The sequence below is a fragment of the Homo sapiens genome, chromosome 4 (assembly GCF_000001405.40).
Source record: "Homo sapiens chromosome 4, GRCh38.p14 Primary Assembly".
Lineage (NCBI taxonomy): Eukaryota > Metazoa > Chordata > Mammalia > Primates > Hominidae > Homo > Homo sapiens.
The window spans coordinates 168,811,769-168,828,791 of NC_000004.12; the positions used below are offsets into that span (position 1 = coordinate 168,811,769).

Consider the following 17,023-nt stretch of genomic DNA (forward strand, 5'->3'; position numbering starts at 1 on the left):
CTCTCTCTCACACACACACACACACACACACACACACACACATTTATTGAATTGAGAGAAACAGGAAATTTTGGATATTATGGTGGCTTCTGTTCAGCGTTGGATATTAGGGGTGTCAAATGGAAGTATAAAAACCATATCAAAATATTGGGTGAAGGTGACAGTCCTACCCTCGCCTGTTTCCTGAAGGTCTGTTGAGTGAGATAAGAAAGGTGGTTGCTATGGAGCTGCTTTGGGACTTTTGTTTGACAATATAGAAAAGGCCAAAAGTATAAAGCAGGACATCAAGGAAAAAACGTATTTCCATAAAAGAAGAGAACATGAGGTGAGAGTGGTTATGATGACTGATGAGAAACATATTAATAAATGGCTTTATAAAACTCTCCTTATTCTCTTAGATTGGCAAGACAAAGACTAGACTTTTGTGTTAGGGAAACTAACCACAAATTGTGGCCTGGAGCCAATTAGGATTGTTCCCAACCCCCTTGTCCAAGCTTGGCCTCCTTAGAAATACGGCAGTACAGACGATTAGTAAGGGGTATCTAAGAATCTCTGCTTTCTGTTTATTGCTTCATGAAGGTGGTTAGCTTAATTTGGTTTGTCGGGGCACTGTATACACAGAAACATCTCCCTTGGGCCTCTTATGGGTAATTACAGAATCTGTCAAATAGGGCTGATCTGCCTGGAGAGACAAGGAGCACAGCATCTATGGAACAGGGAGTTGGGCAGAAAGTTTAGCAAAGAAGCCTCCAGGATGGCAATCTGAGTCATGGCCAGATGTCAGGCGAGAATGCGTTTCCAGCACATCGCTGTGATGATTTAAGTTACACACTCTCTCCTGCTTGCTAGTTTGCAAAGATTTTCCATCTCAGGAGATATTTCTGCAGCTCTTCCTAAGAGTGAAGACATTCTGAGCATGTTACATTCACAATCAGGCCTCCTTGATAAGTATTGAGATTCAGAGTCAAAGTTGGGAAAGCAGCCTTCAATTGTACTCATTCATGTGAAGTTTTATAATGAAGAGTGTATGTGTGTCTCTTTTTGCACTTAAACAAAGGTAGGGAAGTTGATGGCAACTATTTTCCTTCTTTCCCCATCAAAACCTGGAGTATAAATGTGGGCGTGGAAATTAGAGGGAAGCCTAAAATTTGTACTGGTCCCCAGCCCCCGTGTAGATTCATCAGCGAGATCCCAGGCTGTTTGAAAGAATGCTGGGCCTGGAGCTGAGGGACCTCCCCAGAGGCAAATTGATGGTTGGAATGCTGCTGCAGAAGGGCTCAGTGTCCCTGTGGTTCTTTAAGTCTGGAATTTTTCTTTCTTTTGAAAAACGTACTTTTGGGGGGGGCGGAAATGAATTTGAATCTATTTTCTACCACATGTTTAATGACCGAGGTGATGTATTTTTTCCTCAAATTATTATAACTCCCAGTAAAAATTCAAGCCTGTAGAAGGTAAGGAGGAGATTATATGATGAAAGTATTATTGATTTTAGTGGAATCATGGAATTTAACATATCTTCTTTACTTCCAAGTTAGTGCTTTTCACTCTACATCATGCCCAACACTTTCCTAGGTAAACAAGGGCTATAAAAGAAGGGCTTTTAATGTATCTCTTCCCCTGCTTTGGAGCAAGGCAGTTACAGAACAACAACAACAACAACAAAAATAACATTATCTGATTGATTGGTTGATTGGTTGGTTGATTTTAGAGATAAGGTCTTGCTCTGTCACCCAGGCTGGAGTGCAGTGGTGTGATCGTGGCTCACTGCAGCCTCAAACTCCTGGACTCAAGCAATCCCCCCACCTCAGCCTCCTCAGTAGCTAGGACTGCCGGCACATGCCACCACACCCAGCTAATTTTTAAAAAATGTTTTAGAGTTGGGGGTCTCACTGTGTTGCCCAGACTGGTCTTAAACTCCTGGCCTCAAGTGACCCTCCTGCCTCAGCCTCACCAGTAGCTGGGATTACAGATGTGAGCTGCTGTATGATTCTGTCTCGCATAATTGGATATATTTTAAATGGTAAACTTGATCTGTATAATATTTGGACCTCCCTCAAAAAACAAATCATTCATGAAGCTTTGGAAAGGCTATTATAACCAAATAATGTGTGCATAAGGAACCTTCTCCCCACATCTCTGAGCCCCTTTTCATTATGGAACCTCACAGCATCCCTCAGGATATCCCTGAGCCCAGGGGAAGATGAGAGTGGGAGGAATTTCAGTGATGGGAAATAGAATCAAGTTAAAGTAAACTCTGAATTCGATAGAGACAGTGTGGGATGAAGCAACAACAAAAAAATGTATTAAGACGCTATCAATAATACATTTTGCCAGCATTTTTGAGACGTTCCAAACCAGTCTCAGAAAGTTTGAGACTGATCCCAAGAAAACAATGAGAAAGGTTGAGTCTAAGCCTAAAATTTTGGCTGAATTTGGAAATTATCAGTGTGAAGGCTACACACCAAAAATATAAGAACCAACTGTCCTGAAAGTTTGGGAGTTAAGATTTGGGGAAATTATTTGAAATCATTTCAATCTACCAATTCCTGATTTTTTTGCACTAAGAATTGAAATTCTGAATCCCTTAATTTATGTATCAAATATATCTACCAGCAGTGCAGGGACAATGAGGGTGGAAATGCATTAACTAATAGATTATATGGACTGCCTTAAGCAACTGTATAATTTCTGTTAGGATGAAACCGAACCATGTTGGGAATTCTGATTTAAAATGAGGTCTGTACTTTATAGATGTGGAAAATAAGGTTCATAGGACGAAATTACTTCCTCAAAAGCGACATAACTGCGTTGCAGCAAAAACGGCAGGAGAGTGCAGGTCTCTAAGCCAAGTCTTGGACTAGGTTCTTGATTCCAACAGTTCTCCAGTGATGCTTCTGAAGACACTGGGCTGAAAGTGAACAGTGACCCTCTTTCCCGAATGTCTATAATTTTCTCAATTTAAAATTTTTCTCCTAAAAGACAATGGCTATTTTAATCTTTTCTGTTTGTTTGTTTGTTTTGAGACACAGTCTCGCTCTGTCACCCAGGCTGTAGTGCAGTGACGCGACCTCGGCTCACTGCAACCTCCACCTCCTGGGTTCAAGCAATTCTCCTGCCTCAGCCTCCCAAGTAGCTGGGATTACAGTTGTGTACCACCATGCCTTGCTAATTTTTGTATTTTTAGTAGAGACGGGGTTTCACCATGTTGGCCAGGCTGGTCTTGAACTCCTGACCTCAAATGATCCACCTGCCTCGGCCTCCCAAAGCGCTGGGATTATAGGCATGAGCCATTGTGCCCGGCGAATATTTTAATCTTTTAGTGACCTCTGCCATTTTTCTTTTCAAGAACAAGATGAATGAGCAAATGTAAACATTTTAAAATTAACTTGGAAGGGCTTTGACAGATTTCATTTCTCATGGACATATGCTTGTGACTGTTTCAATATTGCAGGCATACACTAGCATCATTTTCTTTTAGCAGAATTGCTTGGTGCTCCTGTAATAGAATGAAGTGTAATAGTGTGCAAACATTCACAACTTCCATGTGCTCTAAAACCTAAACAAGTTTGAACCCACAAGTCACTTTGTAAGGCACATCCAGGCTCGTTGAGATTCTAACTGGTGGAAATAGTTGAAAGTATATTTGTCACTTACACCTTGCCTATATCCAAGAAGGATTTGAGTCTTCCTCCAACAAGAATGCATCCAAGCCAGTCTAAAACTGTCCTCCATAAAATAGGGAAATACACTTTGGGAATTTCATAAGCTAAACACTATTTCCACATTGGTCACCATGGTGAACACAAATATGCAAAATCGACTGAATGGTAACAAGGCAGGGAGAGAACGTGCTTCCTATAGGATTTGATCTGCTGCTTATTCTGATCAAAGTGGAAACTATAAAGGTTGGTTGGAGCGGATAGCCCAATGCCTGCCCAGTAACAGGGCTGCAGGAATTAACACGGTGGACGAGGGAAGGTACAGACCATTTTCGGTGGCTAAATGAGAAATAATACTAAGCGATAGGATATCCTGTATGTTTAGATTACTTGCCTCTGAAAACGAGCTCCAATTCTTTTTCAGAACAAGTATTGGGAACAAACTGTGGATATTTAATCACTTAAGGGTACTTTCTTCTGGGAAAATCGCTCACTCTTAATTTTTCAGTTGAGTTAGACAAGGGCTAATTGCAAGAGGATTAAAACCTTGAAAACTGCTTTGTTCAGCTTATTGTTTCAGGTTTCCCTTTGGAGTGTGGATGATGTGTTTATTTGACATAATGAATACCACCATCCGCTTTGTTCCGGGAACCAAAAGGCTATGTGCTTGCCCAAGGAATTTCTCAGTTGTTTATATGTAAGGAAACACTGCTCTGTGTTATTGGATGGGACCATTACAGCTCTTTCTTAAATAGGGAATGCAGAGAGCCGTGCTTTCCTCACTCACATCTGAGCAGAGAAACCAGAAAATAGCCTTCAGCACTCCAAATGCCTGCTTGTTTTCAACACAAGAGAGCAAAGGGAACATTTATTGAAAATGTGTGTTCTTCGCTTAGGAACCCAGAGCTTTACTTTGTGTTATTGGCACATCTACTTAGACCTATGTTATATGTGTATGTGTGTATATATATATATATATATATATATTTTTTTTAAGTATTAGATTGGAGTGCTTGGCATGAATCATAGATTAGAGAACATTGACAACTAACCAGATAGTGAACTCTGCCTCTATCAGCCAAATCTAACTGCCAAAACACTGAGGAATAAAGTAACCACTAATTAAGCAGCCTGGAGTTTTGTTTTTGGGTTTTTTTTGGTGGTGGTTGTTTTTAATACATACCCTGCCATAGGATGAGGGCAATTGTGTGAAATACATGCTTTGCGGTGACTTCCAGTGATGCAACATAGCAGTCTTTTTAAACAGCTGAAAACTCTCTGGTCCTTTATGGTTTCCAAAAGGTACTCCTTAAATGGGCATAACTGATGGGGGATTGGCTAGTGAGCTACAGAGAAGGCTGAGTCAGAGTGACCTGTTGGAGCTAGCCCCGTGTGTGTGTGTGTGTGTGTGTGTGTGTGTGTGTGTGTGTGTGTGTGTGTGTGTGTAGAAAAGGGGGAGCCGTGGGCAAGGGGCGGGGGTGAAGGGAGGCTGCAAGCTTGGCAGAATGTTTGAACAAGACAAAGAGCAGTTCCAGCGACCAAATAAGGAAGTGAGTGCTGAAGTATTTCAGAATAGAAGTGTGTCAGGGACTCAAGGCAATTGCGGAGAGTAAAAATAGGCAAAGAAGAAAGGGCAAAGGATTTTTGTTTTACTTGTTCCACAAAATAAACAGGGAAAGAAGTATCTCTGGTCTTTCAGCTGGAGTGAGAAAAACAGATCGTATCTATCCCTTTCTGTTGGCTTTTTATAGACATGTGTCTGAAGAGATGTTTAGAAGCTCTTTCAGTGGCAATGGCAATAATAAGCATGCTTTTGTTAAAGACAGAAAAACGCAAGTTGTGCATTAGACGCACCATCACATTCCCTTTATGTGTAATGCATGAAACTTTTAGCCCAAGATGATGGAAGTTTCCAAGAACCAACAGAAATATCTGGAAACCCATTTTCAGACATGTCCTGAACACTGAATTATAACTGTATCCTTTGAGAAAAATCTTACCTCTTAACAAGCCAGTTAAATGTCCATTAGATACAGTGTCTAACTTAAATATGTTGATAGTTACTGAAAAAGATGTCAAAAGAGGCAAATTACGCAAAGAAACTGTCAGTACTTGTTTTAATCTTCTCAATACCATCTCCCCAACTCTCCAGAGTGGCCAATAATATGTCACTGATCCTATGGATAAATGCTGCTCTTATTTTGATACTTTTTTTGCAGTACGGGTGGAAGAGAACAAAGATTTGGAAGGAGAATTTCAGATACTCCTAAACATAATTTGAAACAACCTTTTTTTGTCCTACAAAACCAACATTGAGAAATTATTTCTATTAACCAAGAAATCAATTTACTTATGTCTGCAACTAGGAATAAATAGAAGACATTCATCCTGGGTAAGACTTTTGAAAGCCCTCAATAACTAAATTGTTGGCAACTCTAGGATTGGCAATTGAACAAATCTATCCTTCTGTTCTCATGCAAAATACAAAATTGGACAGCCCACACTTGAATCAGAAACTACCAGAACCTGCCCAGAAGAGTTTGGGTAGAGAGCTAAACTGGAGTGCAAAATAGGGAACACACAAAGATTGACCACGGCATGTAGATGATCTTACAATGTAGTGTATTCTGGCTCCAAAAATAACCTGCCCCCCACTTAAACTGAAATATAAACTCTATTGAATAAGCTACCTTGATCATGCTTCAAGAAAATGTTAGGCTTATGACAAAATGTTTATTATCACAAACAAAGAAAAAATTAAAATGAGACACAGTGTTATGCCCACGAATAGTCATTTTAATGACCAAGCTCCATCCTACCAATGCTTCACTAGTTGACTTTTTTTTTTTTAAGCAATTTAACAATAGATGTCAAGAGCAGGGAAAAAAGGCTGGGTGTGCTGGCTCACGCCTGTAATCCCAGCACTTTGGGAGGCTGAGGCAGGAGGATCACTTGAGCCCAGGAGTTGGAGACCAGGCTGGGCAATATAATGGGACTCCATCTCTACAAAAAAATATTTCGAAAAAGCCAGACGTGGCGGTGCACACCTGTAGTCTTATCTGCTTGAGAGGATGGCTTGGGCCCAGGAGGTCAAGACTGTGTGAGCCATGATTATACCATGTACTCCAGCCTGGACAACAGAGTGAGACCCTGTCTCAAATAAATAAATAAATAGTGGTAAAAAGAGTATTTGACTTCAAAATCATACTTCTCAGTATTTGCCCTGAGGAAGTAACTCAAAATGGGAAAAGAAATGTATAAGCCTGAAGATGTTTAGTATAGCATATTTTTTATAATTTCAAAACAAAAAATTTAGAAGTCAAATACACAGAATATTCTCTTATCTCAACAATGCAATATTATGCAGCAATTAAAACTGGTAATGATTAAGCCTATGAAGGCAAAAAATGTTTATGATAAATGATACAATAATGACGAAAAGTTACCTTGTAAAATTACACACTATCTGTATAGCTATGTTTTGAGGACTAGAAAAGAACATGGTGAAATAGTGCTAGTGTGTTATACATACATAGAGGTAGATTTTTTGTCATCTTTATTTTGTGTTTTTCAATAATAAATGCCTTTCAAAAAAAGATGATGATGAACAAGCTTACAGGCAAGAGGCAGGATTCCAGAGTCAGAAAGAACTGAGGCTTCAGAGTTTACCTATCCAGCAAATATAAGTCACAAAGTTTTGTGTAGCTAGTTAGTGATGTTGTAATAGACTTTGCCATTTACAGAACTGTTTTACTTACTGATTTGACTTGTCAATTATTTAAAAATAGCAAAGCTAGCAAAAATAGCAAAATGTCAATTATTTAAAAATAGCAAGTGTAATTCTTTTGTGAGAAAAACAATCACCCACAAAAATGTAACTGCAGAGGCTCCGAGACCATTTGTGTGTGTGTGTGTGTGTGTGTGTGTGTGTGTGTGATTCCTCCGGTATAGCTGTGAATAATGTGAGGTAACCAGAGACTGGCAGAGTCAGCCCAGGATTAAACACCGTCATCAGCAGCACCCCAGTTTAAAGAGAAGATTCAGAGCACCTGCATCAGGATCTCCTTCTAAAGCCCTGAATGGCAATTGGGAGCCAATCCTGACATTGAGATCACATAATAAACTGTTCTCACAAAGAGCAGTTCATTTAATCTTTCCATGCTTTTGTTTTGGTGACCCCGCTACTGCTGGGAGTAATTATAAAGAACTCCAAATGATTAGAAAGCATTTTGCATAAATCAGCTTGTTTGAATTATTGCATTTCCAGGGAAAATTAATTGCGACTTAGAACAATGCAGAAATTATTTACACACCCAGGTGTCAAAAAGCAGAGGAGAAGCAAAGAAGTAAATATATATTTATAGAATTTCCTGTGATGGCTTATAATAACTATTGAGTAATCATAGAATGTTAAATGTAATCTCATCCAACCCTCTATAGTGGAGATTTGAAAATGGAGACACAGGACTCGAAGTGAATCGTGCAGGGTCTCATAAAGAGTTAATGCCAGAGCCAACTCCTTTGTTGAAAATAGTAGTTAAATCCTTAATGGCTGTTCTCTAGAGCTCTACTTGCTGCCTTTGCCTTCTTGCCCCTCTCCTGTGGCGAACTTAAACAGTACTTCCATCAGTCTTACTTCGAAAGACTTAAGAGTTTGAAGGAGCTCTAGACAATTTATAGTCTTGTCTTAGGCAAGGTGATTCTGCTTCATCTAGTTACTTATTTAGAATGTTAACTCCTTAGTGGCAGAAGTCATGTTTCTCAGTAATAACTAAACTTATTGGCAGCAATGCCATGTGCGCCGTGCCAAATGCTTTCCAAAGTCTCGTTGAATCCTTGCAGCAATTAATCAGGTGTGCAGTGCTATTATTCTCATTTTACTAGAGGAGGAAACTGAGGCACAGAGAGGTTAAATAACTTCCCCAAAGCCTTACACCTAGCAATGGAATATTACGCAGCAATTAAAACTAGTAACAATTAAGCCTATGAAGGCAAGAATGTTTATGATAAATGATAAAATAATAGTTACCTTGTGAAACTGCAAGCTATTTGTATAGCTATGCTTTGAGGACTAGAAAAGAACATGGAGAAATAGTGCCAGTTATGCGTATGGATACATATGCATCACAAGTGCGTATGTTGAGATTTAGACAAAGTATCAGCCTTGGGATTTACACCCAAAGCATGAGCTCTTAAGCATGAACTTGCATTACTTCAGTAGGTGTTCAGTGAAAGTTTTTGAAAATACACCTAAAGTATCCCAAGCAGATGACAATTCTCTTGACTATGACCAAAGGTATGAGGAAGAACTTCTACTTTGAGTAAATAAAATGATGGGCTTCCAGAAGCCAGGTATCCAGGTGATAATTTTTCTATTTGAATATGAGAATGATAGTTACACAGATAACTCCAAAAATTACCTGCATCAGTGAAAATTTGGAGGACAGACATATATAAATTTTGCAATGTTGTATGTCATACCAGTGAAGGAATCTAATGATACTATTATTTATTAAGTGAGGATCGCAATAAGAGTTATTGAGTAATCAATGTCTCTGTATTTCTTTGGGTTATGATTCCTGTCACATCAGTATGGAAAAAGATTTAGCAAGTCGCATGCTTTGCTTGTCCACAACATCCAAGCTCCAAATGTCGCAGACATAAAGATATGCCCAGAGTAATCTACTCTGTAACTCACAGTGAGGGTATTTAGTTGAATCTCCATATAAAGGAATGATTTGAAGGAATTATCTTTACCTAATCCATCCTCCTCCCCAAAGTAGTGGAAAATAGACTCAATTATTTCACCTGAAGTTAAATTTGCATGTGTGAAAGTGTATGTTTATGAAACAAATAGTGCTAAGCATGACATTAGAAATGGAAATCCTAAGTCCTCTGCAAAACATTATCTGATGAGTTGATTACGTATTTGTTCTCTACTTATTTCATCTTACCTTAAAACCATGGGATACTAAGGTATTTTTTTTTTCATCATTCATCCCCTTTGGTAAAATATCAAGTATATGTATGTGTGTGTATGCAGATATGGGTATATATATGTATGTACAAATATATACATGTTTAATGTATTATTACACATACAGATATACACAAAGAGAGAAAAATTTGAAGAATTAGATGAATATACGTATAAAGAGAAGTTTTAGGCCAGGTGCAGTAGCTCACGGCTGTAATCCTAGCACTTTGGGAGGCCAAGGCTGGTGGATCACCTGAGGTCAGGAGTTCGAGACCAGCCTGGCCAAAATGGTGAAACCTCGTCTCTACTAAAAAAAAATACAAAAACTAGCCGGGCATGGTGGCGCGTGCCTGTATTCCCAGCTACTCAGAAGGCTGAGGCAGGAGAATCACTTGAACTCGAGAGGTGGAGGTTGCAGTGAGCCGACATCGTGCCATCACACTCCAGCCTGGGCAACAGAGCAAAACGCTGTCTCAAAAAAAAAAAAAAAAAAAAAAGTTTTAGTATTTTTTTTCTCATCTCTCAATAGACTGTTGTTGAAGCCCACTGCTCTGTATAATACCCCAACACCCATTTGAAGAGTTGCTGAAAGTTCTGTGCCAGGCCATGGTGGGCTGGCCTGAGGCCTGATCCCAGAACCCTCCAGCTGAAAGGAATGTTAGAGCTCAGCCATCCAGCCCCTCCGCAGAACACATGGGGAAACTAAGAGAGTATGAGAATTTTGTCTCAAGACCTCATTTCCAAGAGGACTCAGGACCTGATGAGGTCTTTGTTATATTTAAAGTCTAAATAGCTGTGTGATAATAATGAACCTAGCTTAGGAATTGTTTTACATACTAGAGCTTTTGTTTGGTTTTAGATTTTTTTCTTTTTGGGGAGGGGGTGGGGTGGGGAGGGGAGGCAGGTAGCAAAGTACTCTTCACCACAAAGAAGTTGAAATTGAAAAGGAAATCTGTAGGCACTTAAATGAAAAGCAGGGCATTTTGCTGATGAGGTCAAATGATACTGATCAATGGGAAGCTCTGGGAGAGGTGGCTGTGTAAAGGAGAGACTGGGTGACCCAGGGAAGTGTCCGGAGCTGAATGAGAAGTTGGAATCACATATTCCTATGTTGCAGCCTTCAACCTGATACTAACTCATTCTTCAGACACGGAGTCCAACTTCCAAGTGCTTCAGGGATTTTTGTTAAGCCTTTTAAGGGTATCCAAATGAATTAACTATTGTGTTTCACCAACGCTCTAGTAATTCACTTTCAGTGGGCGGTTTTATTTTCCCAGATGTGCAGATTGTTCACCATGGAGCTATGAGTAATTAACTCATAAAAGAAATGTCCAGATGAATGAACAACTGCAAAGCACCTGTTGTCAACAGCTGATTTTTGTCTCCGCGCTTTGATTATGAAGAGCTTGAGAATACTGGAGGTTGTTTTCTTCTTCTAAAACCTTGTGACACCTGCTGATTTAGGTTCACATAGAATACAATGGTAAATAGAGAATAGGTGGTAGAGCTTGTCTTTATATCTAATGAAAGAAAAGTGTCAAAGTTTCAGATGAATGTCAGATACCCAAGGATAGGGCTGCATTATGACTTTCATGGGCCTTAGGCACTTTTGCCTTTGTGGGTCCGTTTCTCCATTAAAAAAAATAGAATTATATTTTATAGTTGTATTGGTATAACGATGAATGTAACCCAGGCTGGATTCATTATTATATGGTCATCATTGTTATATTTATTTATGTTCACTTTTTCCTTCTGGGTTTATTAAAATTAAAATTTTTTCTTGGGTTGCCCAAAGTGTCAGCCCTGCCCACTGAACCTAATGAATAAATTGGCCCTGCCTAAGATTATGGACAAAGAGACTTCACGGAACCATAGCTGGCCCCATCGATTTTTACTGTCACTGTAACAGAGAACACTGCTAGGCCCATTTCTTCTATTTTTCCTGATGTTGTCTCTGAACAATGAGCAGCTCAAGAATCAGAAATCCCTTTCTCGGCAAGGTAGTTCACGCCTAGAGTCCCAGCACTTTAAGAGGCCAAGGCAGGTGGATGGATCACTTGAGCTCAAGAGTTTGAGACCAGACTGGGCAACGTGGTGAGACCCTGTCTCTACAAAAAATAGAAAAAAATTAGCCACGGGGTGGTGCACGCTTGCAGTCCCAGCTACTCGGGAGGCTGAGGTGGGAGGATGGCTTGATCCCAGAAGATGGAGACTGCAATAAGCTGAGATCATACCACGGCACTCCATCCTGGGCAACAGAGCAGGACCCATTTCAAAAAAAAAGAAATCCCTTTCTCCTTATGTAACACTACTTGGCCTAGAAAAGCCAGTATTTGTGTCCACTGTGCTCTGCCAGGGCTGCTTATGTAGGGGCCTTCGTTCATAATATGACAACGAAGCAGGTGACTGAATCAAAAATTAATTCCTCCATGATGCTAAAAGACTGTGTCTGTGTTCTCCAAAATGGAGTCAGTTTGTGAAGAGAATTTTTGTCAGACCAGTTTATTCATTGCTACACAAAGCTTTCTTAAGTGACATGCAGTGGGCAAACAAGGGAACAATGACACCAAAGTTATGTCAAGCTTGTACTTGTACCACCCACAAATGAAGATGGAATAATAATGTTGCCACCTATAAGCTAATGAACAAAATGCAACAATGGGCCCAAACATGCATATACCCATTGCCAATAAATTAATCTCTAATGAGACTTTTGCTAAAATTGAGGTAATGATTTACAGAAGGCCTGGCTTTTAAAGAGGCCTGAATTTAGTCTTTATTTATGGTTGCCGTATTTTCTTTTCACTTGCATTGAAAACTTTACTTTCAAAATCTTACTTTGTCAACTTTGTCCAGAAATACATTTTTTTATTTTTTTATTTTTTTACCAATCCTCTTAAGTGAATACTTTTTAAATGATATTCTAAACTCTTATTTCTCTCAGTGCAGTCTTCTCTCTGAACTCTTTTCATGAGCCATATCTTATTAAAATCCATTATATATTGTAAAAGAAATAGCCATTGGAAAATATTCATAGGCCACCAGTTCCTTTGAACATAGCAGATTGAACCAAAGTTTAATTTGAAACATCTTTTGATAAATCTTATAAATTGACCAAATTTTCTCAAAATCATTGAACTTTTTCTAAAGTTACTAAAAACAGACAAATATCATATACTAATACAAGAATAATGATCTTACTTCTTTGGAGCAATGGAATTATTTTTTACATTTACGACTATGGAAATCTTGGGTAAAAAAAAAATCTTAATTTTTTTTCCTTGAAATCTAGTACTTCATTGTATCAGCAGTGACCTAGTATAACTCACTTAAGGGGCCTGTAACAGGCAATATCAATATTATTGTCAATTGTTTTAACTGTCAATTATATAAACTATATATCAGATAAATTCTTTTTTTTTTTTTTTTTTTTTTGAGACAAGTTATCACTCTGACACCCAGGCTGGAGTGCAGTGGCACGATCTTGGCTCACTGCAACCTCCACCTCCCAGGCTCAAGCGATTCTCCCACCTCAGCCTCCCAAGTAGCTGGGACTACAGACGCACACCACCACACCTGGCTTCTATTTTTTGTAGAGATGGAGTTTTGCCATGTTGCCCAGGCTGGTCTCCAACTCCTGGGCTCAAGTGATCCTCCCACCTTGGCCTCCCAAAGTGCTGGGATTATAGGCGTGAGCCACTGTGCCTGGCCAAATTCATTTCTTTAATTGCCAATGTTACCAAATATTCTCTCCTATGGAGCTTATGGTCTATATTCAGAGAATTTTCTAATTTTAAATACATTTATTACATTTTTATATTTAAAGAAAGTTTAATTGGAATATTTGACTTCTCCTTATTCTCTCTCTTCTCTCTCTCTTCTCATTCCATTTCCATATTGGAGTCTAGGTTTGTACATTTTATTTTGTTAAAGATATATACTGCAAAATAATCTCAATGATTCTCTTAGTAGTTGGATATCTTTGTTAGAAAACCTTTAACTTCAGCACTGAAGCAAATCATTATGTATTTGCCTAATGAGAAAAATAAAGTACTTCAGATAACATAATCCCGTTTATTTGACGCAGAAGATTCGTGTATTGATCCAGAAGAATGGATATTCAAGTTTAAGATGTGAAGTGCTGGGTAGAAGGAGGTTTCAGAGATGACAGGTTAATCAGAGTTAGGGAAATAGACCCAATTCCCTCCTTCTTGTGATAGTCCCCTATGTATAGCCTGTCGGAGTCCATGGTTTCCTTTGAATTGACTTCATTCTTCTGAAAACGGCGCTGCAACACCCTAAGCAGCTCCATTGCTGAGAGAGTTTTACTTCCTGTATTTCTGCGAGCAACAATGGAATCATGGCTGATCTGGGTGTTTTCTAAGCACCCTGGAAATCTACATGAAATGCGACACAAGATTCCTTGTTATGGTGTCACCAGAGGTAATATTAATAGTATTAAAAGAACAAGCTGAGGACTTTATGCATGATCTTACCCATGACTTCATGAATTGCCACTGGGATTAACGTAAAATCTGTAATCCTCGCCTAAATAGGCCATCTTTGTCTATTATCCATCACTATATATATAAGATACAACTTAAGGTTTTTCTTATGTAGGATAAGTTCAAATATTTAGTCCACTGATAACGGTATTTCACCACTTATTCAGGAGAATCACATAAACAGGCAAATTCTCACTATGCCTCTTTAGTAATCCACATGGAATCTGTGGATGATTCCTTCAGAGCCAGCATAACTCATTTGATTTGGAAAAGGGTGCTCAATAGTGAGTCAGATTCTACTGTGGATCAAGCAGGACATGTTTAGAAGCTGCCTTAACTATTTCAGATCAAGCAGACCTGACTATGCGCAATAAAACTTGGCAATAATCAATTGCTCCATTGGTAAAATGGAGATCTTAGGGACGGTGAATGGATGGTGAATGCACTTTCCATAAATATGTATTTTTTACTCCAAACATATATATTCCTTGGAGCTTGGACTCTGGAGTTAAGGATTTACATCTCCGCTCCTCCCCTTACCAGCTCCGTGCCCTTGGGTAAGTTACCTAACCTCTCTGTGCTCACTGTCCCTGGGATGATAGTTATAGTGATACTTCTTCATGGTTTCTATAGTCAGATAAACAGGAGAATGCATGTGACATGATTGGCATAATGCCAGCCCAAAGTAAAGTTCAGATTATTTTTTTTACTCTGTTTTTTAATTATCTGAAACTAAATACTGTGTTTTGCAAAAACAAAATTAAAAGGCAAAAACAAACAAACAAAAACCAGCTCCCCACCTGCTACATACCAAACAGTATGTTAGGTACTGCAATGGCAGCATCGCACTGTGTCTTTTCAACAGCAGTCCAGGGTAAATACCTTAACCTCCACTTCACAAATGAGAAAACAAAACCTTTGTGATTTCAAGGTCATGGAAACAGTGGAACTGACCCCACTCTGTCCAGCTCCAAAGGCCATGCTCTTTTCAGGACATGCCTTCACTAGATGATCTCTTCAGCCCCCTCCCGACTCTGATTTTGAGTCCTCTGGAATTGTCTCGGATGTTCAAGGCTTACCTCACTCTCATAAGCTCAGCCTGTTTTTTGTTTATCGTAGCGTGGCCTTTCTTTACATTCCAACTGCAGACCTGGTTGTCATTCTCCCTGTGACATAGCATTTGATGTCCACTGGGTTCTAGTTATGTCTATATAAGTACAAACAGTCCCATTTCTTTTTTCCCGATCCATTCTCCCTTATCTTAATAAAAAGTTGTGAACAAACCAAAGAGCCATAAAGTTATCTTTACCAATAGGATAGATGAATTTGTTTTCATGTTCAAAGTATGAGTTGTCCTCGGAGGGGTGCCCTTTCCCTCCTCCCCTACTAGTCTGTCTTCATGATCAGATAATGCATGAGGCTGAGCCTCTTTAGAATACCCACATTTTGGTTTTTTAAAGTTTCTCACTTTTGTTAAAATAATTACTAGTTGTTGATATGGAGACAAATGTGTTTTGTATAAAATGTTACACTTAATTACAGAGTCCAAATTCAAAATAGTCCAAGATTGTTAAAAGTTGCTTATTCTTAAAAATGAATGGACTAAAAGCTGATCTTAAGCATTCTACTCTCAGAAACATTTTCCCAAACATAACATTACTATGAAGCAATATCAGGTAAAATCTATAATTAATCTGTTATTTCCTTAGTCTTGTTCTTGTTTGATAAATGTAGTTGGGAGCCCTTGCAAAGGTAGCAAGTACAATAGAAGAAACAGGCCATTCAGGCAAGATTCTGTGACTCTAAAAAATATAGTAAGAGCTAAATCAAGTTTTTAAAAATAACATCAAAGGCCAGGCGCGGTGGCTCATGCCTGTAATCCCAGCACTTTGGGAGGCCGAAGAGGCAGATCACAAGATCAGAAGTTCGAGACCAGTCTGGCCCACATAGTGAAACCCTGTCTCTATTTAAAATACAAAAAATTAGCTGGGTGTGATGGTGCACGCCTGTAATCCCAGGTACTCGGGAGGCTGAGGCAGGAGAATCGCGTGAACCCGGGAGGCGGAGGTTGCAGTGAGCCGAGATCACGCCATTGCACTCCAGCCCGGGTAACACTGCAGGACTCCGTCTCAAAACAACAACAACAAACATCAAAACACCAGAAGTGAATGGAACAAGATCCTGATGCTGACCTGATTATCAGAACATCTGTTATAGACAACATTGATCACTCTGAGGAAATACATAGCAAAAGCCTCCTTGTAGAAAATGTGCCAATCCAGAAGCCAGGAATCTTCTAGGAAAATCTCAAGTTTTGGTAATTTTCATTAAAATATTAAGCAAAATGCCGGAAGATATATTAATATTCCTTTGCTGCTACATGGAAATAAAATAAATGAAAATATAGATTTTGGGCTTTAATTCTTAAGTTAGAAAAGCGTGATTGAACAATGTCGATTTGTGGTAGCAGTAAAAAGACATTTACTTGGTTTGCTAATCATATCTACTTTATAAAATATTATCATGTTACCTATGCTGAGCATTTTGAGCTAGATAGTGTGCAATACCCGTCAGTAGTTAGATAGATCAATCAGTCGATTGATAAATAGATAGATCTGTGATTTGGTTTCACTGCCAATATCTTCTTTCTTTAGTGAATACTGTTGGTTTTTAGTGTCTTTCGTTTTAGTGTTTTAGTTTTTAACCACCTATGTTTCACTATTTTCATTGTGAGAAAAATATGAAAAGGAATGATTTGAAGGTTACTTTCACCCTTTCCACTTTTCTCCCCAAATACTTGGCGAATTGAGCCCAATGTTTCATCTCAAAGTAAATTTGCATGTTTGAAGCCTTAGGCCTCTGAGCCAAAGCCTGTGAAGGTA

The 17,023-nt window shown here is 39.0% G+C and overlaps 1 protein-coding gene across 17 annotated transcripts in view, besides 2 other annotated features; it reads left to right on the forward strand.

The window, feature by feature from the left end:
• The window catches only part of PALLD (palladin, cytoskeletal associated protein), a 431,390-nt gene that overhangs the window by 314,717 nt on the left and 99,650 nt on the right, over positions 1-17,023 (forward strand). The gene's annotated exons all lie outside the window — the stretch shown is intronic.
• Positions 4,102-4,736: an enhancer, noted in NCBI's record as "H3K27ac hESC enhancer chr4:169737021-169737655 (GRCh37/hg19 assembly coordinates)". NCBI's record gives its function as "activates a minimal SCP1, AML or CMV promoter by ChIP-STARR-seq in primed H9 embryonic stem cells {active_cell/tissue: H9 hESC(primed)}" and the evidence as "EXISTENCE:reporter gene assay evidence [ECO:0000049][PMID:30033119]".
• Positions 4,737-5,372: an enhancer, noted in NCBI's record as "NANOG-H3K27ac hESC enhancer chr4:169737656-169738291 (GRCh37/hg19 assembly coordinates)". NCBI's record gives its function as "activates a minimal SCP1, AML or CMV promoter by ChIP-STARR-seq in primed H9 embryonic stem cells {active_cell/tissue: H9 hESC(primed)}" and the evidence as "EXISTENCE:reporter gene assay evidence [ECO:0000049][PMID:30033119]".